Source organism: Homo sapiens, chromosome 2 (genome assembly GCF_000001405.40).
Source record: "Homo sapiens chromosome 2, GRCh38.p14 Primary Assembly".
Lineage (NCBI taxonomy): Eukaryota > Metazoa > Chordata > Mammalia > Primates > Hominidae > Homo > Homo sapiens.
This window is the reverse complement of record NC_000002.12, coordinates 187,489,619-187,517,189: the sequence shown is the minus strand read 5'-3', so window position 1 is coordinate 187,517,189 and position 27,571 is coordinate 187,489,619. Positions and strand designations below refer to the sequence as shown.

Here is a 27,571-nt window from a genome sequence, read left to right as displayed (position 1 = left end):
AAGCTAGCAGAAGCCAAGAAATAACTAAGGTTAGAAACAAGTGCTTGGTGCTGCGAAGAAAACGTGTGCTCAATAAAAGATTACTTAGTAAGGCAATTTTACTTTTGTAGTGTAGCAGGACGAGCCACAGACAAAACTCCTCCTCAGACACCAGGTTAAAGAAGGAAGGAGCTTTATTCAGCCTGGAACTTCAGCAGACTTGCATCTCAAAAGCCGAGCTCCCCGAGTGAGCAATTCCAGTCCCTTTTAGGGGCTTACAACTCTAAGGGGGTCCGCGTGAGAGGGTCGTGATGGATTGAGCAAGCAAGGGGTACGTGACTGGGGGCTGTGTGCACTGATAATCACAACGGAACAGAACAGGAAAGGGATTTTCACAATGCTTTTCCATACAACGTCTGGAATCTATAGATAACGTAACCGGTTAGGTCAGGGGTGGATCTTTAACTACCAGGCCCAGGGCGTGGCACTGGGCTGTCTGTCGGTGAATTTCATTTCTGCCTTTTAGTTTTTACTTTTTCCTTCTTTGGAGGCAGAAATGGGCATAAGACAATATGAGAGGTGGTCTCCTCCCTTATCCCCCTCTCTTTGAGAACCTCTCTCATTAGTGGGAGTTCTCACTTTCATCCTCACTACCCATGTCTTCTTGCAAGACAGATCAATAGTGATTCATATAGTATACTTGTGCTGAAGCATTTTGGTGAACTAAGGTAGTGATGAAGTTTTTTATTACTTGAAGGAGTACAGGTAGCAAACAAGGGAGTAGTAAGCAGGTTCCTATTACTATTATAATTTTTATTATAAGAGTTTTAAATCCTTTTAGTGCTGGAAACCATTTCCAACCATGGCCCCAGGATTAAATCCATGCCACACTTGCAAGGGCACATGTGCCAGTTTTGTCATATCTTTAACTATGTCTTCAACTACTTGCCCTTGATCATTTATGTGCAAACAGCAATTGTTTAGGTTAAATTTTCCACAGACTACTTCTTCAGCTGCTAGCAAGTAGTCTAGGGCTAGTCTATTTTGATAGATAGCATTTCTCATCTGGGTTTTTGCTGGGCTAAAACAGTTAAAGCTCTACCAGTTTTATTAGTTATTATTTTTAAGACAGCTTTTAACTGTATGATTCGGTTGAGCATATAAATGGGGGTTTGGTATCCCCACTAGCCGTCTTGTGCCTAAGTGGCAGGCCCATAGTACTGCATGATTTTTTTCAGGGGGCCACTCATCATCTTTCCAGCTGCCTATAGCTATGCTTCTCTTTTCTCGGGAAGCACAGACTGGGAAGCCTAGAAGTGTGCCTGTTTTTATGGGCACTAGGAAAAAGGATGGGTTATAGCACACATCAGGCTGGTCACTTCCAGGGCTATATACCTTGTATAGAATAGCATTAAACAAACAAGCTCCTTTTAGAGTCCTGGTACACTTATAATAACCATAAAATAATAGAACTGTAGCAACCTTTTGTCCTACCGCAGTGACTTGACGTATATACTGGGAACAGTCCTCAGTCTGGGAAAGGTCAGTTGAAGTCCTTACTGTACAAGTCCAAATTTTAAGGAAAATGAGTCCCATGATGAGTTTCCTCATGCTTCGGCTGTGCGTGGACCAGTCAGCTTCTGGGTGTGACTGGAGCAGCGCTTGTCATCTTCTTCAGAGTCACTTTGCAGGGGTTGGTGAAGCTGCTCCCGTCCACGTGCAGCTACCAGTCTACTGATGTTCAAGGATGGTCTCAGAGGTTGGGCCTGCTAGAATAAACTGAGTCCAACACCTCTACACAGTTATGTTTAACTGGGCTCTCTGATACGGGGAGCAAGGTGGTGGGGTTTAGGGTGTTGCAAACTTCAATGGTTATGCAGGGATTTTCACAGAGCAAGCTTTGGTATCTAGTTAGTCTAGTATTCTTTAGCCAATGATGTCCTTTGGTATTTATTAAAGTCACCACAGTATGGGGGGCCTTTATCTTTAGGTTTTGCCCAAGAGTTAGCTTATCCACTTCTTATGCTAGCAGGGCTGTTGCTGCCAAAGCCCTCAAACATGGGGGCCAACTCTTAGAAACGCCATCTAGTTGTTTAGAGAGGTAGGCCACTGGCCCCAGCCAGGGCCCCATGGTCTGGGTCAAAACTCTAACCGCCATTTTTTTTTCTCTGTCTGACACATATAGTGTAAAAGGTTTTGTCTGGTCAGGTAGCCCCAGGGCTAGGGCCGACATGAGTTTTTCTTTTAACTCATGAAAAGCTCGTTGCTGTTGGTTGTAATAGATGTAGTTTATCCAATCTACATTTTTATTAACTGTCACCCACCAAAATATTGACTCAAATCCTGCAGCTATTTGATTTTGGGCTTTAAATTGATCTGGTATTCCCTTTTGGATTCCAATTGCATCTAAATAGATGTGAGAGTTGAAAGGCCCATAAGGGGCTTCTCTCACTTTACAATGTCTTATTTTTCCTCCCTCTGGTTGATGAAATGCCAGGGTGAAAGGGATAGCCAACTGGACTAAAGCACAAATGCCACTCCAGTTATTTGGCAGAGTGCCCAGTAAAGGTCCACCACAATACCACCACACATCTGCTTGGGGATGAACCAGGGCTGACTGATTGATAAGCTCTTGAAAATTCTTAAGCTCACTGCATCCCTTCAGGTCTCCAAGGAATGCTAAGTTTTCTCCCTGTCATGAGAGACACGAAGTGAACCTAGTGTTGGAAGACGGAAGCGGGATGGCCCTCGAGGGCTGACCCACAGGGTGCTCGACTTCCGGATATAGCAGAAAGAGCTTGGCATGACTTAATACTCCAGGCTGTAGAATCCTGGAAAAGAGCTACCATGCAGCCCATGCCTGGTTGACTGGAGGACCACCTTAGTGGAAAGGGGACAATCTGGGCCTCTGGCCTGCCATGTGCACAAGCATAACAATTGCTTTTGTTTAACATGTGGAGGGAATATTTGATCCATTCCAACCAGGCATTTGCATCTTGGTAACCTGCTTAATTGCCAAAGTTTGTATTAAGTCTTTAACTTCTATGATCCTCTAGTAAAATGAACATATGGTTTTAGGAAATTACAAAAACCGGTTGGGGAAGTCCATCCTTGCTCTGTAGTGGTCCACGGAATGTTGGACCAACTATGGCATAAAAGCTCTACATCGGGGGGCAAGACTCCTAGTTGGCACTGGGGTCTTTATGGAAATCTCCCTGGATTAAATGGTCCCAATTTACTAATGCCCAGTCTGAGGAGAGTCAGGAAGGTCAGAGGTACTTTTCTGAAGTAGAGGGCTGTCTTTGACTTGGTAAGTCCCCACAGGGTATAACAAGGCAAGCATTAAATGCAATAGTTTGAGGCAAAATTGACTTGGTTATGTTAATAACTAGATGGTCAGCAATAGAGTGAGGAAAGAAGAAAGAGTAATAGAATAGATGAAAGAGTTAAATTTTTCTTAGCTTAGTTTGGTAGGGTTTTCCCCTGGGACTATGGCCTATGACTCTGGAGGGGGTGGTGCTTTCTTGACTTGGGTGTGATGAATCCATCCCCTTTCCATTGTAGGAACAGCAGTCTCAGCGGTTAGCAGCACAAGGTAAGCTCCTTCACAGGATGGCTCAAGTTTTCCTTCTTATGTGATCTTTAGGCTGGAGCTGGTTTACCAGAAATTCTAGGGGTGGTACGTGTGCTAAAAGACTTTTAGTTTTGAGGGAAAGGAAAGTGTATATAATTTTTAAGAAATTAGACAATGCTTCTTGTGTGATTTTTATACCAGATAAGTAAATTTCACCTTTATATTAGTGTGTTATTAATGTTAAACTTAGTTTTCATAAAACTTCGTAGACATATTTATTCAATTTTTAATGTTGGACCATAAGGTAAGATTTTTATAGACTCTTTTTAACCTTTTATAGTTTTTGTTAAAGAGCAGGTTAGTGATTTAAGAAAAAACCCGTTGTGTTTTTATTTTAATGTTTAGTTCACAGAAAAACTGGATGATACCTCTTTAACTTTAGCTAATATGTTTACACACAGAATTTTCTTTATGATTAATGTTTTAAAACTTGCTTAAGCCTTCAAAAGAAAACTTTTTTTTAACCTTTTAATGTAGGTAAAAATCCACATTCTTATGCCTCCTTATAATCCCTTTACCAAAGGTATATTTTACTTTCCTTATACACCTTGCACATAAACTGTTTCTTCAATAGTTTTACATTCAGGAGGCCCAATTACTTTTAAATTATACAACATTTCTTGCATAAATTCTTTTTTATAACTTTTTTTTCTCTTTCATGACTTTCACAGACAATTCTTTGACATGCGTTAACTTTCTGACTTATTACAAACATTTCTTTCTTTAAACAACCAGTTAATTTATTTCAGGATAAGAATTTACCATATAACATTCTTTTTACATAAATTTCGCGGCCCCCCCCAACTTTTTTTCCCTTTTTTTTGAAGATGATAACCATTCTTTTCCAAAGTGGACTTCCTTTATGTCTGTGGACTAGACTGTCTAAGGCCACAAGATTAGAAGTTACTATAATATATGTTACACTGTTAACTTTTAGCACACTTTACTTTTGCTGAAAACCTTGTAAGTTTGGGATTTCAATTATCCTTTGCTATTAATAAGAACTTGTTTAGTTCAAATTAACTTAGAATTGGTATAGATGGCTTTTTTTTTTTTCCTTCAATTACCCAGGAGGAACCATCTATCATCCTGTCCTGAAGGGAGTTCCTCTTAGGTCTGGTTGAACCTTTGTATAGTAATTAAGATTTAAATCCCCTGTTAGGAAACCTGCTGGGTTAAGGGAATTTTCAGTAGTTAATGTTAAATCATCTTTTTTCTTTTTTTTCTAACAGAATACCCTTATACTTTAAGATTTTTAAGTTAGTAAGCTACCTTTTTGTCTTTTTTTTTTTTTTTTTTAACTTAGGATACTTCTGAACTGGTAAGGTGTGCTCACAATGAGGTTTCCCCTAAAAGTTATTTTTCTACTTTCTTCTGTTAGCAAAGCAGTTGCCGCTACAGAGTGAATGCATTTGGGCCATCCGCAGGTTACTGGGTCAAGGATTTTTGATAGGAAGTCTAGGGGTTATCAGCGGCCTCAATGCTTTTGGGGTATTCCCTTGTTTACACTGACAACAAGAAAGTGTTATTGGAGTGTTATAGGGTTATGGATAATACCTTTAATTATCAATTATAGGTTTTAAATTTACCTTGGCTTTTAAAGGAATAGGGTACACTGTTTTTTTTCTTAACTACTTGTATATCTCTCTCTCTCTCTCTTTCCTTGACTCCCTCTTTGTCTTTCTGTCTCTTCCTGTCACTTTCTCTCTCTCTTTGCCTCTTTCCCTCTCTGTCTCTTTCCTCTATCTCTCTCTCTCTGCTGGTCTTTCCTTGCCTCTGTCAGCTGCTTATGCTGCTGTTCTCTCAACCACTGTGAGGCGGATCTAAAACCAGCTGTAACCAAGTGTCTATGTACAGGAACTGGTTTGCGTGCCCTGGCTTACAGGTTACCTTGTGCCATACCTTTGAAACAACGGACCCGTCAAGGCTTACTTCTGATGGGAAATCCACCTCTAATGCTGGCCAGTCTATTTCACATAAAGTTCTAACTTTTCCTGGTGTCAGAGTAACACCATAATCTCCCTTAAATCCTTTCTTGAAATTTTTCAACATAGTTCCTGGTGGGGTGGGCTTACTTTGTGCCTGACCCATGCTTCCTCGAGACAAAACACCACATGCACACCGCAAAACAAAGAACAAGTAAAAAGGGCACACAGACACTTTCACAGTTTACACCAAACCAGAGTCAAAACCAAATCAGAGTATCAAGAAATCCAAGCCAGGTCAAAACCAAAACCAAAGTATCAAGCCATCCAAGTCAAGTCAAAAACAAAAACCAAAGTGCTGGTACAGACACGCCGTGGGTGATCAGGCCACGCTTCCACTCAAATGGAGTGGTCAAGTTCCAAAGACCAGTCTTACCAAGTTTCAGATGTCCAGACTGCAAGTGCCAGTTCTTTCCCGGTGTTCAGCCACTGCGTTGACCCTCTGCGGGGGCCTGCCGTGCACTGCTCTGAGGAGGCGTTCCACTGGGGCAAATGCCTACCCAGGAGCGCTCTCAGGATCTGCATCGCTCAAGCTGGCTGGAGTCCCCACAGGGATGCTCCACAAGGCAGGCCTAAGCTGCCTAAGGGGCTGCCTTGGCCTCTGTTAATCACCTCGCTTCCTGGTCAGGGTACCAAGAAATGTAGCAGAACAAGCCACAGACAAAACTCCTCAGACACCGGGTTAAAGAAGTGAGGAGCTTTATTCAGCTGGAAATTTCAGCAGACTTGCATCTCAAAAGCCGAGCTCCCCAAGTGAGCAATTCCTGTCCCTTTTAAGGGCCTACAACTCTAAGGAGGTCTGTGTGAGAGGGTCGTGATTGATTGAGCAAGCAGGGGGTACGTGACTGGGGGCTGCATGCACCAGTAATCAGAATGGAACAGAACAGGACAGAGATTGTCACAGTGCTTTTCCATACAATGTCTGGAATCTATAGATGACATAACTGGTTAGGTCAGGGGTCGATCTTTAACTACCAGGCCCAGGGCACAGCGCCGGGCTGCCTGCCTGTGGATTTCATTTCTGCCTTTTAGTTTTTACTTCTTCTTTCTTTGGAGGCAGAAGTTGGGCATAAGACAATATGAGGGGTGGTCTCCTCTCTTAGTAGAAGGGTGTTATTTGCATTTGTCATTTTGAAAGCACACCAAGAGGGGTGGGCAGGGTTTTTTATTTTTAACACAAGGGGCTTTTACTGTTGTGTCTTTTTTTTACTGACTGAGTTGGACTGTATAATTGAAGCTAATTTTGATTGGCTAATCTGAATAGAGCAAGGATGTGGGTTACAGTGGTAGGACAAGTAGTTTCAGCAGGAAGAATAGTTGTAGAGTGCGTAACTAAGGGAACAGAACAGATGTAAGTTATAGATTAGGACTGGTGGGAAGGGTTGTTTATAGCACAGTTAACTATAGAAACTGGAGAAACAAAGAACAGGAAGAACACAGAACTAAAACTTTTTGAAGATGAATTTATCATCTCTGACATGTGTCTAGTCTCTGTTAGCTGGAGTTGGACTGTACAAATCGACACTGAACTTGATTGGCTAACTTGAAAGGGGCAGGGGTGTGATTACACTGGTGGACAATGGGAGGGGTGATTTACAGAATGATTAGCAGATGTGGGCTCTGTAGATAAGGAATGATAGGAAAGTTGTTTACTGAAACTAAAACGGGGAGGCATAAAGGATAAGGAATGTAGTTTGGCTTTGGGAGTAGGGAACAAAGAGCAAGGACGCTAAACAAGCCAAACTTTTAAAGAGGAACTCTTTTTATATCTGACAACTAAGATCAAAGCAGAACTGAAGGAGATAGAGACAGGAAAAACCTTTCAAAAATCAATGAGTACAGGAGCTGGTTATTTGAAAAGATCAGCAAATAGATAGATTGCTAGCCAGACTAATGAAGAAGAAAAAAGAGAAGAAGCAAATAGACACAATAAAAAATGATAAAGGGGATATCACCACTGATCCCACAGAAATAGACTACCATCAGAGAATACTATAAACACCTCTACACAAATAAACTAGAAAATTTAGAAGAAATGGATAAGTTCCTGGACATATACACCCTCCCAAGTCTAAACCAGGAAGAAGTTGAATCCCTGAATAGACCAATAACAAGTTCTGAAATTGAGGCAGTAACTAATAGCCTAGCAACCAAAAAAAGCCCAGGATCAGACAGATTCACAGCCGAATTCTACCAGAGATATGAAGAGGAGATGGTACCATTCCTTCTGAAACTATTCCAAACAACAGAAAAAGAGGGACACCTCCCTAACTCATTTTATGAGGCCAGCATCATCCTGATACCAAAACCTGGAAGACACACAACAACAAAAAAGAACATTTCAGGCCAATATCCCTGATGAACATTAATGTGAAAATCCTCAAGAAAATACTGGCAAACCAAATCCAGCAGTACCTCAAAAAGCTTATCCACCACGATCAAGTCGGCTTCATCCCTGGGATGCAACCCTGGTTCAACATACACAAATCAATAAACTTAATCTATCACATAAAGAGAACCAATGACAAAAACCTCATGAGTATCTCGATAGATGCAGAAAAGTCCCTCGATAAAATTCAACACCTCTTCATGCTAAAAATTCTCAATAAACTAGGTATTGATGGAACGTATCTCAAAATAATAATAACTATTTATGACAAACTCACAGCCAATATCATATGGAATGGGCAAAACCTGGAAGCATTCCCTTTGAAAGCCAGTACAAGACAAAGATGCCCTCTCTCACCGCTCTTACTCAACATAGTATTGGAAGTTCTGGCCGGGGCACTCAGGCAAGAGAAAGAAATAAAGTTTATTCAAATAGGAAGAGAGGAAGTCAAATTGTCTCTGTTTGCAGATGACATGATTTTATATTTAAAAAACCAGTCTTCTCAGCCCCAAATCTCCTTAAGCTGATAAGCAACTTCAGCAAAGTCTCAGGATACAAAAATCACAAGCATTCCTATACACCAATAACAGACAAACAGAGAGCAAAATCATGAGTGAACTCCCATTCACAATTGCGACAAAGAGAATAAAATACCTAGGAATAAAACTCACAAGGGATGTGAGGGACCTCTTCAAGGAGATCTAGAAACAACTGCTCAAGGAAATAAAAGAGGACACAAACAAATGGAAAAACATTTCATGCTCATGGATAGGAAGAATCAATATTGAAAAATGGCCATACTGCCCAATTTATAGATTCAATGCTATCCCAATTAAGCTACCATTGACTTTCTTCACAAAATTAGAAAAAACAAACTACTTTAAACTTCACATGGAACCAAAAAACAGCCCATATAGCCAAGGCAATCCTAAGCAAAAAGAGCAAAGCTGGAGGCATCACGCTACCTGACTTCCAACTATACTATGAGGCTACAGTAACCAAAACAGCATGGTACAGGTAGCAAAACAGATATATAGACCAATGGAACAGAACAGAGGCCTCAGAAATAACAGCACACATCTAAAATCATCTGATCTTTGACAAACCTGACAAATATAAGCAATGGGGAAAGGATTTCCTATTTAATAAATCATGTTGGGAAAACTGACTAGCCATGTGCAGAAAACAGAAACTGGACCTCTTCTTTACACCTAATGCAAAAATTAACTCAAGATGGATTAAAGACTTAAACATAAGACCTAAAACCATAAAAACCCTAGAAGAAAACCCAGGCAATACCATTCAGGACATAGGTATGGGCAAAGACTTCATGACTAAAACACCAAAAGCAATGGCAACAAAAGCCAAAATTGACAAATGGGATCTAATTAAACTAAAGAGTTTCTGCAAAGCAAAAGAAACAATCATCAGAGTGAACAGGCAACCTACAGAATGGGAGAAAATTTTTGCAATATATCCATCTGACAGAAGGCTAATATCTAGGATCTACAAAGAACTTAAACAAATGTACAAGAAAAAAACAATCCCATCAAAAAGTGGACGAAGGATATTAACAGGCACTTCTCAAAAGAAGACATTTACTCAGCCAACAAACATATGAAAAAAAGCCCATCATCACTGGTCAGTTAGAATGGTGATCATTAAAAAGTCAGGAAATAACAGATGCTGGAGAAATAAAAACTCTTTTATACTGTTGTTGGGAGTGTAAATTAGTTCAACCATTGTGGAAGGTGGTGTGGCAATTCCTCAAGGATCTAGAACCAGAAATACCGTTTGACCCAGTATAAATCATTCTACATAAAGACGCTTTCACACGTTTGTCACGGCACTATTCACAATGGAAAAGACTTGGAACCCACCCAAATGCCTATCAATGATAGACTGTATAAAGAAAATGTGGCACATATACACCATGGAATACTATGCAGACATAAAAAAGGATGTGTTCATGTCCTTTGCAGAGACATGGATGAAGCTGGAAACCATCATTCTCAGCAAACTAACACAGGAACAGAAAACCAAACACCACATGTTCTCACTCATAAGTGGAAGTTGAGCAATGATAACACATGGACACAGGGAAGGGAACATCACATACCGGGGTCTGTCAGGGGGTGGGAGGCTAGGGGAGGGATAGCATTAGGAGAAATACCTAATGTAGATGATGGGTTGATGGGTGCAGCAAACCAACATGCCATGTGCATACCTATGTAACAAACCTGCATGTTCTGCACATATATCCCAGAACTTAAAGTATAAAAAAATAAATAAATAAACAGTATGGAAAGGTAGGGGTAGAAAGTAACTTCATAGTGGAGAAATCTAACAATCATTACCCCAGTCAGGTGTTTAAGATCAATATCAGCAGTCATAAATTATGTTGGTAGTATGTATCCTTGTCATAATGTGACAAAAATGGCACTTTAACTCTGTTATCTTCTTTCCCAAACCCCATAACCCTGGTCTAATTATGAGTAAAAACATCAGATAAATTCTATTAAGGGGATACCCTGCAAAATACCTGACCAGTATTATTCAAAACTGTCAAGATCATCAAAAATAAGAAAAATCTGAGAAACTGTCACAGCCAAGGGAACTTAAGGAGAGATGACAACTAGAGCAATTTGGTATTCTGGATGGGTTGCTAGAACAGAAACGTGCTGGGGAAAAGATAAGGATATTTGATTAACATATGGACTTTAGTTAGTAACAATGTATCAATTTTGGTATATTAACGATAAGTGCACCATACTAACGTAACATGTTAATAGGGAAACTGGGTGTGAGGTGTATGAGAAGTCTCTGTACATTCTTCTCTATTTTTTTTTAAATCTAAAACTATTTTAAATAATGGGGTCAATTTTTTTAAAAGAAGATGTTTCTATTAGAAAGCCAGGATTATGGGCTTATCAAGCAGATGTTTACAGCAAATTCTCTGCTGAACTATGGGGGGAGGAGATCTGCAAATGGTGTTTTATAAATCTCTGTTTTCTAATTTTAAGAAAGCTGGATTTTTCCAAAAGGAAAAAGATTTTGCATGGTATATAGAAGTTGGTGCATGGATTCATCCCTACATTAAATCTGTTATCACCCAGAACCAGACAGCATTTTTGAGTAAAAATTTAGATATTTGATTCCTCCTGCAATTCATGTACTTTATTTGCCTTTTGCTTTTCTTTTTTTTAAAAAAAAAATTACATACGCTACTATTTAGCTATGGCTTGCTGTGGTATATAGTCATATAGTCATATAGTCATTTATCTGTCTAACACCCTTCCCTTCTGAAAGCAACAATTTCCTCCTTCTGGGAGTTACACTTGTCCGTTTCCACCACCCAAACCATATGGTTCCATTAATATTTGCCATGCTATTACATTTTCTTATTCCTGACCCCAGACTGGTTTTGGGTCCACCAAATCTATGATGGTCTCCTACAATTCCCAACTCAAATGGATTGGTCCAAAAGGTGTCCCTTGTTTCATGCTAAAACTATCAGAGCTAGTCTCAAGCTATTTAAGCCTGGACCATAAAGAGAAGTAGTCACACTATTTTGATTGAAAAACTCTTAAGGTTTAAAACCCAGGACAGTTCATTGTTCATGCATCATGCTATGCAGAGAAGATTGGGTCACACTGAGAGAAAATAAAGCTGTCTAAGGAGTGTAGCCACAATGAGAAATACCTGGTGGTGCTCAGCTCACCAGCTCTAGCTGTTTCTGAGAACTAATGCAAGCCTGCCCTTGTCATCTCAGATTGTTCCACATATTCTAGAATAAATAAACTGATGATCCAAATTTGTCAGAGCTGGTTTCTAATCCTAGCACCCAACGAAAGTCTAAAGTACTAAGTTTAGGCAATACCCTAGGCTGCCATTTTTTAAGACAGGAACTTGCTGAATTTAGAGCCCTCTCTCTCAAGGGCTTCAGCAGGCCCCCAACCTCAGCCTGCTTCCTGAACTGTGTGATGCAGAGTACACTCTGTATTTTATACTCAAAGTATAGCAGGATAGTATATTTCAAAGAATCAAATGGAAATAAATGAATCTCTGAAAAACGTGTTCAAAAATGCGATAAGGATTAGAAGTTTAGTTTCAAGATTCTTCAAAATCATGTATCTATATAAATATATATATATATTTGTGAATTCAAATGGTTTATGGTATGATTTACAAGATATATGAGATCTCTACTGACTAAAAATCAAATGTATGTTAACACTTGCAAAGTGTTGTGAGAAAAAAAGGTTATGTATCTCACTAGTGATTTTAATGAAACTTAAAGCATAATAACATTTATTACTTAATTATTATATGGCTACCCACAATGGTGTATATTGCAGCTGTGATCTGCTACAGACAAAACCAGATAATTCTCTAGATTGTTTTTGATGGAGTATCTGTCCCTGCATTTGTGAATGTTTGCTGATAAGATCTCGCTTTCCTTCCTGACTGGAAGGGCACTGGTGGCTGAGAACAGGAAGGAAGCAAGTGTTCTCTTCTTTTATTTTTCTGTGTTGCATGATCATTACACTTTTCCTTCCACCTTTAAATCCAAAGAAGAAGTCGTCTTTAAAAAAATAAAGGTGACTTACTTCTTTCTTTTCTTTTTTTTTTTTTTCCTTTTTGGCGATAGATCTTTAAACAACGTTGAAACAGGAAAAGTCTCACTCTCCTATTGAAATCTGATTCCTTTAGAGTGTAAGAGTGATGGCTTATCACTTAGAGTCACTTTTCTGTGAAACTTTTTGAATCAGATAACTCCCTAAACTGCGGAATAATGAACTGGGAAAGAGGACTAACTCGAATGTCAGACACTTCTTTTGTCCTCTGTTTTGGCTGTCTGCTATCTCACAGAAAACCTGGTTAGGAAATTGATGTAAATAATGTATTTTTTAAAGGAAACAAAGATGAAAATTCTGAAAATGTGTTTCCTTTTTAAAAGAAGAACTAGAGCAGAGGGAAAGATAAATCAGGAATTAAAAGTTGCATTAAAGAAATAATAGAAAAATGCCTAAATAATTATTGGTTCTGACTGAGAAAGAATAGCTGTGCGAAAGATGTGGAAAGTAAAATTGCACATGGAAATGGACTTTAATACATACTTCGCCATATTGATCAGCGTTTACCCATGTCTCTCAATTACTGTCCTTTTTATTTATATTTTCAAAGTTGAAATATGACCTGTTTGCTTGAATATTAATAAATATATGCACTGAATGTGTTTGCCCATAATTCTGAATACTACATATACATTTTAAGTATGACTCATTGAGTATGCACAGAGAAATGTATGTGTATACACATAAAATGGCATAGAAATTTGCATATGAGGTACACATATGATGTTTACTAGTCTGTAAATGAGTGCATATTAACACTTTATTTATTAGATATGTATGGGTTCTGTATTTCAGAGATGATTTACACAATGAAGAAAGTACATGCACTTTGGGCTTCTGTATGCCTGCTGCTTAATCTTGCCCCTGCCCCTCTTAATGCTGATTCTGAGGAAGATGAAGAACACACAATTATCACAGGTAAAATATTAGAAGCAATTATCTTTTTAAGCTAGTTAAAGCTCTCAATTTTAATCTAAAAAATCTACCATAGTTTTCCATTGTGGAGGGAAATTAGTTGTTATTGAAGTGATATTTTTCTTTGGAAATTTATTATACCTAATGTATGTGTGTGTGTGTGTGTGTGTGTGTGTGTGTGTGTGTGTACATGCACATGTGTGTTTTAAACAGTCCGAAACCAAGTAACTTTAGCTGAAACACTTCTCTCTTTTTTTTCAGCATACAATATTAAACACTGGAGTAGCTCCGGGCTATTGCAAGGAGCAAAATGTTGTAAAAACAACTCCCTATGACATTTGATGCTACCCTTTGGCTAGGAAAAGTGTGAGGAGGAAAGGGAACTTCAGACATCTGAGGTTTCAGCTATTCTCTCTTTCTTCCCCATATTTCCAAAATCAAAACTTCCCAGTTGAGACTAATATAAAAATCTAGTCAACCAGGACACCAAAGGATCTAGTAATATAAGTTAGATCTAATCCCATAAAACTCTGTGTCTAAAAATGAGAATATTAACAATAAAAAATAGAGCAAGGAGAAGACTGTATGGTGATGGTTATTGTGGATATATACCTTTCTTAAAGTAACATTTTGTGGCAAATTAGTAAATTGTTGACAGAAATCTCAAGCATTGGTATTAATGAGAGAATATTAACAAAATGATAGCTTATTTTTGTATAGTGGTTTAAGATGTAAAAAAGATTTCCATAAATGCATTCTTATTTGATAGCTTTAATAGCTTTTTAAAATGACTGTGTTCAGTGTACTTTAATAAAGTTTGAATAAATACATCTTCTGGGCCTGAATCTGTGGAAGGTGCTAGAGAAACAGGTATGGCTGAGATGAGGTGCTCAAGAATCTCACTGTTTCCTAGGGGAGTGTGAAGGGTGGACAGTTTATTTCCGTATAAAGTAGTACACAAAGTGACAGAAGCATGGAGAGTGCTGCTGTTGATGGGAAGAGGAAGGAGATTCAATCAAGCTTGGCTCTCTGAGGGCTCCACAAGGGGAAGTCATGTTATAAAAATTTCCTAGAGATGAAGCATTATTTAGTAAAAACCCTAATGTACCTTTTTGAAAATAAGAATTTGAACATTATGAGTTTCAATCCCTCATTCGGCTTTTTTCTCAAAAGGTGGTGGGTTAAAATTCTAACATTCTGGAGGTTACAGAAACAAGGAAGGTGGAGGATAAAATAAGTCTTAACAGGGAAAAAACAGGCAATCTCACTTGTGGGAAGTGAGAAGCAAATAGATCCAAGTGTTCCCTGTATTTGTCCCAGTCCAATTTTCCTCAACTGGACTGAGAAAATGAATATTGGTTAACCAGGAAGTTCCTGAAATTGTGGCTGCTGCCACTGTCAATCAATAATCCAGAATTAAGTTATCAGTAATTAAGCCAGAATTTAAAATTACTATAAGGTAGCTTCCAAACCTAGGTGGTAACAAAGAATTTTGATATTTAAGCTAGACTTAAAGACCTCTTCACCAACTAGTTGCAGTTTTATCTAGTTTTATTTTGTTTTTGTTTAAAATTAATTTTTATAATAACCTTATCTCACATCTGAAAAAATTCTATTTAGGAGATACAATTTATCACATGATGCTAAGATCATAACATCATTTTATAGAAGTATATTATTTAATTGAAATAAGGTACTCTTATTAATAGAAAAATACATCAAATTTTATTGCTTCTCTCACAAGCAAATAGTAGATGATTTTTTTAACAGTCAAATCAGCAGGGAGGATAATCTAGAATTAACGTCTAGATAAGGCAAAAATGATAATAAAAAGAGTAGTGATAAGCTTTTTAAAACAATTCCATTGGGCTAGGAGAGAGAAAATTAAGAGTGAACATTTAGTGAAAGGCAAGTATCTTTTGTAGGATTTAGAATCAGACAGACCTGAGTTTGCAGGTGTAGTTTGCCACCTAGTACCTTTGTGAGACTGAATAAGTTAAACTTTCTGACTACCAGTGTCCTAAGCTGTAAATGAATAATGTAAATAACTAATTTCCTATGATTTTTATATAAAAAGTGGAAAAGCATCTGGCACATTTTCTGACACAGAGAAGGCAAAAGGTACATGTGTTTGTTCTTCCCTGCCAGAAAATAAAATAAAATAAAATAAAATCCTTTAATTAGAGTCTAGCAGCATGTGGATTCTTAGATGGTAAGTTACCTGAAAGCCCTAGATTTGCAAATAAGTTCCAAGAGGATGAGTATTCTTACAGTCAAGGGCATGATATGTTTTCAGGCAGCAAATATTATAGTAAGCTTCTATCCAACATCCCAGGACATGGGGCGGGGGGAGGGAAGGGGAAGGCAGGATTGTAACCTTTAGACTATGAGACATAAAATTCATGACATCAAAGGCAAATGATTCAATATAAACCATAATTCTATTTATATGACTGGATCAGATTAAATTCCTTTTAGATTGCCCTCTATGTGTTTTGCTTTCTCATGGCCGCTGGCAGATAATTATTACCTCTGTAAACATTTCCTTCAAGTCTCAATTTCAAGTCTCAGGAAAGTTATCGCTGACCCCTTCAGGCTAATTTAGGTATCCTACTGTTCACTCGCACAGCACCCAGGACTTTCTGAATGTTTATGTAAGTCCTTAGTGTCTATATGCTCCATGAACGAGGGGTTGCTGTCATCTAATTTACTGTCATATCTGTAGTGACAGCACAGTGCTTGACGCATGGTCAATACCCAATTATTAACATTCAAAAGGGTTTATTCAAAATAAGAAATGAAAACCGAGGCAGATTTCCATCCCTTTTGGGTGAAGTGGCATGGCACTGTGGGTCACACAGCACACCTGGCCATTGCTTGAGTCCAGGGATGCTGTGCTTAGGTGTGGGCTGCAAGATCACTGCACAAAGAATATTCTAATACAGGATTTCTATAAGAAATACATTAAAGTGTGAATAAAGACAAATAATCACCTAATAATTAACAAAATATAATTCATAAAAGTTAATACTTAGTGTTTCTCCTAGAAAATTTCTATAAAATTATCACCTACTTCCATTATTGAAACCATTTTTAGTTTCATAAAGGTGAATGTTTGAAAAAAAATGTTGTTGATTGAGTGGAAATTATATAATTAAAACCGTATGCTTGATCCAAATGCTACTTTAGGAATCTCAGTCACATGTCTGTGACAATATCATGTAGTTATTAAGAATGTGTGAGATAGCTGTTGTAAAACCATATGAGGATCAATTTTAAACCCATCATTTATGGTATGAATTTAAGTTATTTACTTAATTTCTGAAAGCTATTTTATAATTTATAAAATGAAGATAATAATGCCTAACTCAGTAGGTGGTTATGATCATTAAAGGGTACAATTACAAAAATGTCAAGGGTATTGTAATTACTCAGTGAGCAACATTAGCTATTGTTGCTAGGTACAACTACTACAGCGAGTTTATCAGCTTTTGCCTTTGTGGTGCACTGCCACCACCTGCTGGCAAAATTACTCAATAGCAGATTGAACTAGAGGTGATTATATCTTTAATGCAGAAAATGGAAAAAAGATTTAGCTTGATAATAAATACTATCAAATATATTAAGAATAAAAAGTAGAAAAATCATCAATTAGTATCTGATAAAATTATTGATTTATGAAAAATGATTTTTCTGAATATACATGGCAATGCAGGTATTAGGTAAAGTTCCCTGTGTTCTGCAGATACAGATCTTTATTCAAGTTTTCTATCTGAAACACTACCTCAATAACTTGTCTCTAAAGTTCTAAAGTCATGTTAACTTGGGAATGAATAACATCACATTATATGAGAATTTCTACAGCAATTTGAGATAATGGTATATAGCTGTAAAATTAAAAATGCCAGAATATTTTTATTCCTGCTTTGTTATGTGAATTCTGGGGTCCCATATTTAAGGAGCTGATAGGTCACATTTTTATTGGTTTCAAAACAAACATGTCTAGAGTTCAGAAACTCACGATACGTAATTTGATGATACTTACTGTGGGCCTGCTGTAAGTCAGACACACCACTTAGGGTCTTCACACCAAATTTTCTGGTTTCTCATAAAAACTCAAAATGTCAGCTTGGCATTCTAAAATCCTTAAGTAAAGACAAAAAGATATAAACAGCATTTACAATTATTCATAAATGTGCCACTCAGAAAAAAAAATTCAATGATTTTTAAAACTGACAATTATAACTTCAGTGATAGAGAAAATGTGTTTTAACAAGTCATTTTGGTTCATACATTTTTCGATTTTTAGAAAGTATTTTTAGCAATCCTCAATTATATTTGTTATGAATTTCTATTAAAAAGTACTTGTGTATCTAATTTAAGAAAAATGGAAAATTTTACCATGAAGTGCTCATATTTATAGGTACCAGAAACTCTCTATATGCCTGAGAGACCTTCTAAAGCAAATTATCGTATTTTAGATATGTTCATCAACATGAAATGTTAGATAAAGGATTTGAAAAAAAAAAGAAATGACATTTAAACTTGTCAATGTTCACCAATATTTCTTAACTCACTTTGATACAATTATTTGTATATATACTATAGATATTTATTGGATTTAGTGACACTGTTATTGGTTTAAAATTATTTTAAAAATCATGTTGGTAAACACAAACATTATATTTTGTCAATTGAATATAACTCCAGAAAAATTTGAAGACACACAAATGCATATGTGCATAAAACTCAACTTTAGTTAAAGATTTGATCAACATTCTTACTTGCTAATTAGCTATTTTATGACAATTGTGTTTGGTGCTGAAACTATCCCCGTATCATAATAATTCTCTGTCATATGTTATTCTAAGTTAACAAATTCTGGACCTGAAAAACATACTCTTCTATCAGTTCTGTCAGCTCAATTTATTTCAATTGAAAAAAATAATCAATTAACTTATCAAATAGATCAAAATAATGAGATGGTATTATGTAAATTTAACTAGTATTTTTAAAAATTGAAAGCAGTGTTAGTAGTTGAGATAAAATTTACGTGTTCAAAAATAATTAGTGTCACATGAATCAAACAGCATGAAAATGCCAACTTATGTATAGAAAGCTGTATCTTTAATCCTTCCAAGATTGTAAAGGCTACTTACAATTTTATGACTCATATAAAAAATTAACAATATCATTTCAATCATTTTGTTACAAAAAGTTTTAACATTACTAAAATAAGACTAATACTTGCTATTAATTCAAAATTGATTATTAGAATAATAATATATTATGGGTGGAGTGCAATTAATAAAATTATCTAATTTAACTTTTATTACACACATATTTTCTGTTTCAAAAAATTCACATTTTGAAATTACAGGAAATTTAAAACTGATTTCTTTTGAGACAATCATACTCCAAAAACTTATCCTGTATTTTATGCTTTAAAAATATTTTATGTGAAAATATTAAAGTCTCATTCTTTTTTTGTTGTTGTTCAAAGTAAACTATTTTAGAATGCATGAAAACACTTTTTTTCAAGATATTTATACTCATCTGTTTAATTCAATATAATACTGCTGCCCTCTAGAGGCAAAATTGGTTTCGGTCATTTATAGGTTTCAATATTCCCCATAAGAGATTAATAAATCAATTGCCAAAGACATAGAAAATACATAGACTCAATATGCAGAAAATATTCAAGAAGTATTATATGGCATTTTTGTCATTATTCTTTTGGTTGCACCACCCACAATTTTCAGTGTCTATCTTTACTGGTAAACAAATAGACTTTACTTAACATTAGGCTTCTATTAATTTTATTGGACTTGAAAAAAATAAAATGTTTAAAAAATCTAGTTGAGTTTCCCCTATTTCTATGTCCATTCCCAGGATAGAAAATTCTGTTATGAAAATTAGGAGTTAAATATTTAAAGAAAAAATATATAACGTGAAGTCAAAAGAATTGCCTCATTCTATTTAAAACATAGAAAGCATTATTTACATTATTTCAACATTATTAAAACCCAAGCATGGTATGGTAAGTTAAAATAAAAAGCACCATGAAGTATATTTTTCAGAACATCAAACACATAAATTTTTATAATTAGGGAAAATGGTTTAATATAGTGTTATATACATATGTGTGTGTATATATATATGTGAATGTGAATATGCTGTTGCTTTTAAAGGGTTGTTTTATGTGTAAAAAGTGACACAAGTGTGGGTTAGGGAGAGAAATTCAAAGAACTGTCCATTAGCTGAGTTAAAAGAGGTCTATTGTGGACACATCCACTTGAATGAAGTTGCCTTACAACTACTACTCAATTCCCTCCCAGTTCGGTTGGTACGATTTAAGCAATACCTCCCTAACAAGAGTCTAGAAGTTGTGTTTCATTTGGTGAATTTATTAACTTTATCTACCATTTTGATAACTGAATAACTTTTTATAGTTTCTTAGTATGTTTTATTGTACTTTTCCTTAAAATCAGGACATATTAAAAAGGAAATAAAGAACATTATTACAGTGTTGATGGAGATTACATGTTATATCTTTTATTTTTACTTTATAGATACGGAGTTGCCACCACTGAAACTTATGCATTCATTTTGTGCATTCAAGGCGGATGATGGCCCATGTAAAGCAATCATGAAAAGATTTTTCTTCAATATTTTCACTCGACAGTGCGAAGAATTTATATATGGGGGATGTGAAGGAAATCAGAATCGATTTGAAAGTCTGGAAGAGTGCAAAAAAATGTGTACAAGAGGTAGGTTTCTGGGAACCCTTATTACTCAAGACCCTTTAGGGCTATTGAGTCTAATTATGGATTTGATAATTTAGGGAGAAAAGTAATTTCATGCTGTTTTAATATTTCCAAGGAATCTTTTATTTCCACATTTTTAGACTTTCAGGGAATCCTAAAAACATTTAAGGAAAATGATAATTCTGAATTGTACCATGAAATACCCACATTTATAGGTACCAGAAACTCTCTATATGCCCGAGAGACATTTTAAAGCAAATTATCAAATTTTAGGTACGGTCAACTTGCATGTTCAACTATCATTTTTCATTTTCTTCATATCAGTGAATTATAAAATATGAGGCCCCATTTATTGTCTTATACTCTTATCCATAATAAAGACAGAAGAAAAAAACCTCAACTCATGTTCAAAGAATTGTGAAGTATTTTTAAAATAAAGTGGGTGTAATTCGGCCTCCCAGACTTGTAATCTCAGTTGGCAGAAGAAAAACTGTTAGTCACATTGACTTAGTCTTTCCTTTGTCAACACAATGGTCTCATCGCTATACTCTCTCAAGATCATGAATCTGGAAATTGAAGCTCTATGGCTCTTAATTACAAAATTGTAAGCTGCATAAAATAGTAGAACTATATATGAAATTTAAGATTTTTTTATTATTGGAACCTTAAAATACTACAGGAAATAAAAATAGAATACCATAGAAAAGAAAAATCATCCCTGATGACCCTTGTGGACTTTACTAAACCCAATGTTTTATATTAATATTACTAAGTTATAAATTTCAAAAGTACGTCATATTATATTAAACTTTTACTCTGCATTAATCCTACTAAAATTTAACATTTTTGCAAATTTTGCTAATTACTTTATTGTATGGGATTTTATATCTTCTCACTAAGATAAATTACAAATAATTACTGACCAAAATTTTGAATGTTTTTTTTTTAATGTCAGGCTATTCTTCCAAATTGTAAGTTACTCAAGGGATAGAATAAGTTGAGTTGCTTTTATTTCCCTAGTTTCTAGACCAATATTCTACCATAGCATGTTCGTAGAGCTGGTTGGATACAATTGAGGTGATACAGAAATGATATCTCTGGTTAGTAACACTAGATGTCTTGTTTTTTGCAAATCAGGCAGCTCTGCATTCTCACTCTGTTACTGCTTTCTAAATAGCTTTTACTAAACAGCCTTGGCATCATGGTGCTCTTGGCCTGTGGGAAAACTTCCATGTGGTGAAAAGAGTGAACTTCTCTCCTCTGTGGCTCTGTAAGATGTTTAGTTGTATGCTCCCAAGCTGAAAGAAGAGAATAGACACGAATATATTTCTTTAACCTCACAGCACTGATTTCTCTGTTTCCTCTCCATAGATGCCCTAGGAATGTTACTAACACAGTTTAGGCAGCTCAGTGGTCCTCAGTGGTGCTTTTGGTTTTTGTGATTGCTTGGTCTTTTCCCATTCATCACAGATTTCTATACCCCATTTTCTTCCATACATATTGGGCCAAGTATCCTTTTGTGTTGAGTTGAAAATCATTCTTAGTTGTCAGTACCTTGGCTAGAAGCCTGGTTGCCTCATTCTTTGTAATCCCCACTCTTTCATTTAGCAGGCTATTTATTTTCATCAACTGGCCTCTTTCCTGAAATATATACCTGTTCTTTTTATATATGTGTATAGTTCAAGTCTTATGGTTTATCATTGTGCAAAACTTACTCTTTTCTTTAAAGGTTAGGGAAATGTAATCATTTTGCTCATCAGTGATAGCCTTGCTTATCATCATTTAAAATATCATTTCTGGCTAGCATGTAAATGTAACTCTCTTACCCCCATCTCCTCATTATCTATCAAAATTCACTTGAGGCTGGGTGCAGTGGCTCACACCTGTAATCCCAGCACTTTGGGAGGCTGAGGTGGGTGGATCACCTAAGGTCAGGAATTTTAGACCAGCCTCACCAATATGGTGAAACTCCGTCCCTACTAAAAATACAAAAATTAGCTGGGTATGGTGGCATGTGCCTGTAGTCCCAGCTACTCAGGAGGCTGAGACAGGAGAATTGCTTAAAACCAGGAGCCAGACGTTGCAGTGAGCCAAGATTGCACCACTGCACTCTAGCTGTGCAACAGAGGAAGACTCCATGAAAAAAAAAGAAAAGTCACTTGCAATTATTGTATGAATGTCTGAGTGTTTTATACAGCAGACTACTGATAAGGATATAACTGGTATATGGAAAAAATATGGCTAGACTTTTAAAAACGCACCTAAGGAGAGAATTTAATCGGCAGCCATGATGGATAAATAGAACAAGACTTTCTCTCCCCAACATAAAGAACTATAAAACTGGACAAAATGTAAAAAACTACTGTTTGCAAGCATTGAACAAAAGGCAGTGCAGGATTGTGACCTCTGGGAGAAGGTAAATACATAAGATGAGCCCTGCAGTCTCCCCTGCTTCCTGTGTGAAGGCATTCAGAACCACCATTACATGAAAGAAACCCAAGTACAGCATGGTGGTCTCTCTGAAAAGAGGAGATGGCTATTAGAGATTAGAAAGCAGAAGTGGTTGTGGTTTTTCTAACAATGTGTGTTATATGGTTTCACTCTGTGTCCCTACCCAAATATCATCTTGTAGCTCCCATAATTCCCATATGTTGTGGGAGGGACTGGTGGGAAATGATTGAATCATGGGGGATGGGGCGGGGGGGAAGGTGGTCTTTCCCATGCTATTATCGTGGTAGTGAATGGGTCTCACATGATCTTATGGTTTTAACAAACAGGAGTTTCTCTGCATAAGCTCTCTCTTTGCCTGCCGCTATCCATGTAAGATGTGACTTGCTCACAGTAAATTGGTACCAGTAGAATGGGGTGTTGCTGGAAAGATACCTGAAAATGTGGAAGTGACTTTGGAACTGGGTAACAGGCAGAGGTTGCAACAGTTTGGAGGGCTCAGAAGAAGACAGGAAAATGTTGGAAAGTTTGGAACTTCCAAGAGACTTGTTGAAAGGCTTTGACAAAAATGCTGATAGTGATATGAACGATAAGGTCCAGCCTGAGGTGGTCTCAGATAGAGATGAGGAACTTTTTGGGAAGTTGAGCAAAGCTGACTCTCATTATGTTTTAGCAAAGAGACTGGCAGCATTTTGCCCCTGCCCTAGAGATTCGTGGAATGTTGAACTTGAAGAAATGATGTAGAGTAATTGACAGAATAAATTTCTAAGCACCAAAGCATTCAAGGGGGGTTTAGGTGCTGTTAAAGGCATTCAGTTTCAAAAGAGAAACAGAGCATAAAAGTATGGAAAATTTGCAGCTTGACAATGCAAGTGAAAAGAAAATTACATTCTCTGAGGAAAAATTCAAGCCAGCTGCAGAAATTTGCATAAGTAACAAGGATCTGAATGTTAATCACCAGGAAAATGGGGAAAATATCTCTAGGGCATGTGAGACATTTGTGCCAGCTCTTCCCATCACAGGCCTGGAGGCTTAGGAGGAAAAAGTGGTTTCCTGGACCCGGCCCAGGGTCCTCATGCTGTGTGCAGTCTAGGGACTTCGTGCCCTGTGTCCCAGCCACTCCAGCCATGATTGAAAGGGGTCAACGTAGAGCTAGGGCCAGAGCTTCAGAGGGTGCAAGCCTCGAGCCTTGGCAACTTCCACATGGTATTGAGCCTGAGAGTATACCGAAGTCAAGAATTGAGGTTTGGGAACCTACATCTAGATTTCAGAAGATGTATGGAAATGCCTGGATGCGCAGATAAAAGTTTGCTGCATGGGTGGGGCTCTCATGGAGAACCTCTGCTAGAGCAGTGCAGAAGGGAAATGTAGAGTCAGACCCCCGACACAGATTCCCTACTGGGGCACTGCCTAGTGGAGCTGTGAGAAGAAAGCCACCATACTCCAGGCCACAGAATGGTAGATCCATTGACAGCTTGCACCATGCACTTGCACATTTCAAAACTGATCATGCCTTCCCAATAGTCCCCCAAATTCTTAACTCATTTCAGCATTAACTCAGAAGTCCACAGTCCAATGTCTCATCTGAGACAAGGCAAGTCCCTTCTGCCTAGGAGCTTGTAAAATCAAAAGCAAGTTAGTTACTTCCTAGATACAATGGGGGTACAGGCATTGGGTAAATACAGCTGTTCCAAATGGGAGAAACTGGCCAAAACAAAGGGTCTACAGGCCCCATGGAAGTCCAAAATCCAGCAGGGCAGTCAAATCCTAAAGCTCCAAAATGATCTCCTTTGACTCCATGTCTCATATCCAGGTCACGCTGATGCAAGAGGTGGGCTCCCATGGTCTTGGGCAGCTCTGCCCTTGTGACTTTGCAGGGTACAGCCTCCCTCCTGGTTGTAACACTTATTTACAGCCAACTGTTCTTTGACAAAATCAACAAAAACACACAGTGGTGAATGGGCACTCTATTCAATAAATGGTGTTGAGAAATTGGATAATCATATGCAGAAGAATAAAACTGGAATAATGTCTCTTGCCTTATACAAAAATGAACTCAAAATAGATTAATGACTTAAATGTAAAACCTGAAACTATAATAATTCTAGAGGAAAATCTGGGAAAAACCCTCCTACATATTGACCTAGGCAAAGAATTTATGACTAAATCCTCAAAAGCAAATGCAAGAGAAACAAAAATAGCCAAATGAGAGTTAAATTGAAGTTGATCCACAAGTAACTTAAATTAAAAATGTTCTGCACAGCCAAAGAAGTATCAGAGTGAACAGATAACCTAAGGAATGAGAAAAATATTTGCAAACTGTGTATTGGACAAAAGACTAATATCTAAAATGTACATGTAACTCAAACAATTCAACAAGAAAATAACAAACCATTTAAAAAATGGACAAAGGACATGAAAAGGTATTTTTCAAAAGAAACATATACACAACCAACAAGCATATGAAAAAATGCTGAAAATCACTAATCATCAGACAAATGCAAATTAAAACCACAATGAGATACCATATTATACCAGTCAGAATGGCTACTATTAAAAAGTCAAAAAATAACAGATGTTGAAGATTAGGAGAAAAAAGAATGCTTATAAATTGTTGCTGGAAATGTAAATTAGTATAACCTGTATGGAAAACAGTATGGAGATTTCCCAAAGACCTAAAAAATAGAACTACCATTTGTTCCAGCAATCCCACTACTGGCTGTCTACCCAAAAGCAAATACATCATTATATCAGAAAGATAACTGTACTTGTATGTTTAGCACAGCACTATTTACAGTAGCAAAGATATAAAATCAACGTAAGTGTCTATTAACAGATGATTGGGTAAATAAAATGTGATATTTATATATACACATATACTCCATGGAGTACTACTCAGCCATTAAAAATAAAATCATGTCTTTTATAGCAGCATGGATGGAACTGGAGGCTATTATCTTAAGTGAAATAACTCAGAAACAGAAATTCAAATACCACATGTTCTAATTTATAAGTGGGGGGTAAATAGTGCATACATGTGGGCATAGTAGAATAATAGACAATGGACACTCAGGAAGATGGGAGGATGAAAGGGAACTGGGGAATGAGAAACTATCTAATGGGTACAATGGACACTATTTGGGTTATGGTTACACTAAAATCCACTTCACCACTATGCAATATAACCACATAACAAAATCGTACTTCTAGCCCCTAAATCTATGAAAATAAAAAAGAAATAAATTTTTAAAAAGAAAAAACAAAGAACTGAAAGAGAAAAAAAGTGCCAATCAGTAATCTACTTCTTAAAATAAGGGCTTTTCAAATCAGCATTATCTGGGGAAATTTATTCCTGGTAGAGCAGCAGTACAATTAGTATTAAAGGATTTAGAATTAAAGCACACAGGAAGGAAGGAGAAAAATATGAGATTATTGTTGTAAAGTTCTGAGGTTTCTACAGGTGACAATGACATACATTACTTGGCACTAGACTGTAATGGATTAGTACATTATAATCCTTAAAGCAACCATTAAAAAAATGAAACAAGCAGAAATAACAAATAGGCCCATAATGAAGATGAAATTATTATTAAAATATTCAATTACAGTAATTCTAAAGAAGACATGAACAGAGGGAAACAGAAACAAAGAAGAAATGAGAAACAGAAATCAAATTGCTAGTGATATTTATACTCAACTTTAATGATAATTAGATTAAATTAAAATTTAATGGTCCAGTCACGCCAGTTAAAAGGTAGATATTATCACTCTGTATGCAAAAATAAATCAAGAACTAACTACATGTTGTCTATAGGAAAGGCCCTTTAAAAATAAGGACAGAGAGATTAAAAGTGAAAGGATAGAAAAAGATATAATATGTAAGCACTAATCATAAGAATGATTAGTAAAAGTAGACTACAGGATAAAAAATACTACCTGGTGGAAAGAAAGATATTTATAATGGGGGTCCATTAATAAAAAAGACACAACAATCCTTAATTCCTATGTGCATGGTCCTAATTACAAAACTCCAAAATTTTTAAAGAAAAAGTTGGCAGAAGTGAGAGTATACAATTATTCAGTTCAGTTTACATACTTCAAGACACCTTTTTTCAGTAACTGACAGAAAAAGTAAACAACAATCACTAAGGATATAAAAGATTTGAACAACACTCTCTACCAACTTCACACAATTGGTATTTATCTAACACTCTCCTTGCACACCCAGAAGAAAATATCATTATTTACATCTGGCACACTTTTGAATGGATTTAGAAGCAAAAATAAATAAGTCAGTTTGAGGTATAAATATCATATGCCAATGTGTGTCAACCAAATGCAAATTTTGGGATATTTTTGCTTGTCAGTCTTACATCTTAATATTCATAATGAAATATTAAAACAAATTCATATAAATTGAAATTCAAAAGAGTACTAGAATGGAAATTAGTCTAACATTCTCTCATTGCTCCTTAAAAAGCATTGATAAATGCTTCGTCCTGTCTAAATCTAAGAAAACTTGATAATTTGCTGTAAATCTTTTCTAACTATTAATCGCTTTCATACTGCTATTGCCATACAAATTATCGTGTCCAAGGTTATTATTATTAGTCCTCAAAGACAATTATTGGTAATATAAATACACTTAAAATTCTAGTGTGCTAAACCACATTGAGTTAATTGGCATGTATATTACCTGAATTAATCCTATTTACAATGTAACAGTAAACAAACAAAATAGATGTTCTTTTAAAAATTGTATTAATCAAGCATTTATATATTCCCATCTTATGACTATTGTCAATAGGTAAATCAGG

General features: G+C 36.4%; 1 protein-coding gene and 1 long non-coding RNA gene across 16 annotated transcripts in view; one reads left to right on the top strand and one right to left on the bottom strand.

Annotated features, from left to right (window-relative positions):
- CALCRL-AS1 (CALCRL and TFPI antisense RNA 1) overlaps positions 1-27,571 on the bottom strand; it is a 544,253-nt gene that overhangs the window by 30,336 nt on the left and 486,346 nt on the right. For all 3 annotated transcript variants that reach the window (NR_187179.1, NR_187178.1, NR_187180.1), the window contains exon 3: positions 17,585-17,684. This is a non-coding gene — a long non-coding RNA (CALCRL and TFPI antisense RNA 1). The remainder of the gene's footprint in view (positions 1-17,584; positions 17,685-27,571) is intronic.
- TFPI (tissue factor pathway inhibitor) overlaps positions 1-27,571 on the top strand; it is a 90,206-nt gene that overhangs the window by 37,246 nt on the left and 25,389 nt on the right. For 8 of the 13 annotated variants that reach the window (NM_001329240.2, NM_001329239.2, XM_047445619.1 and 5 more), the window contains 3 exons: positions 3,544-3,574; positions 13,420-13,542; positions 20,112-20,309. In NM_001329240.2, the coding sequence (NP_001316169.1) occupies positions 13,422-13,542; positions 20,112-20,309 (319 nt within the window). In that variant the 5' untranslated portion in view covers positions 3,544-3,574; positions 13,420-13,421. The remainder of the gene's footprint in view (positions 1-3,543; positions 3,575-13,419; positions 13,543-20,111; positions 20,310-27,571) is intronic. The other 5 variants (NM_006287.6, NM_001329241.2, XM_047445621.1 and 2 more) reach the window with 1 other exon arrangement.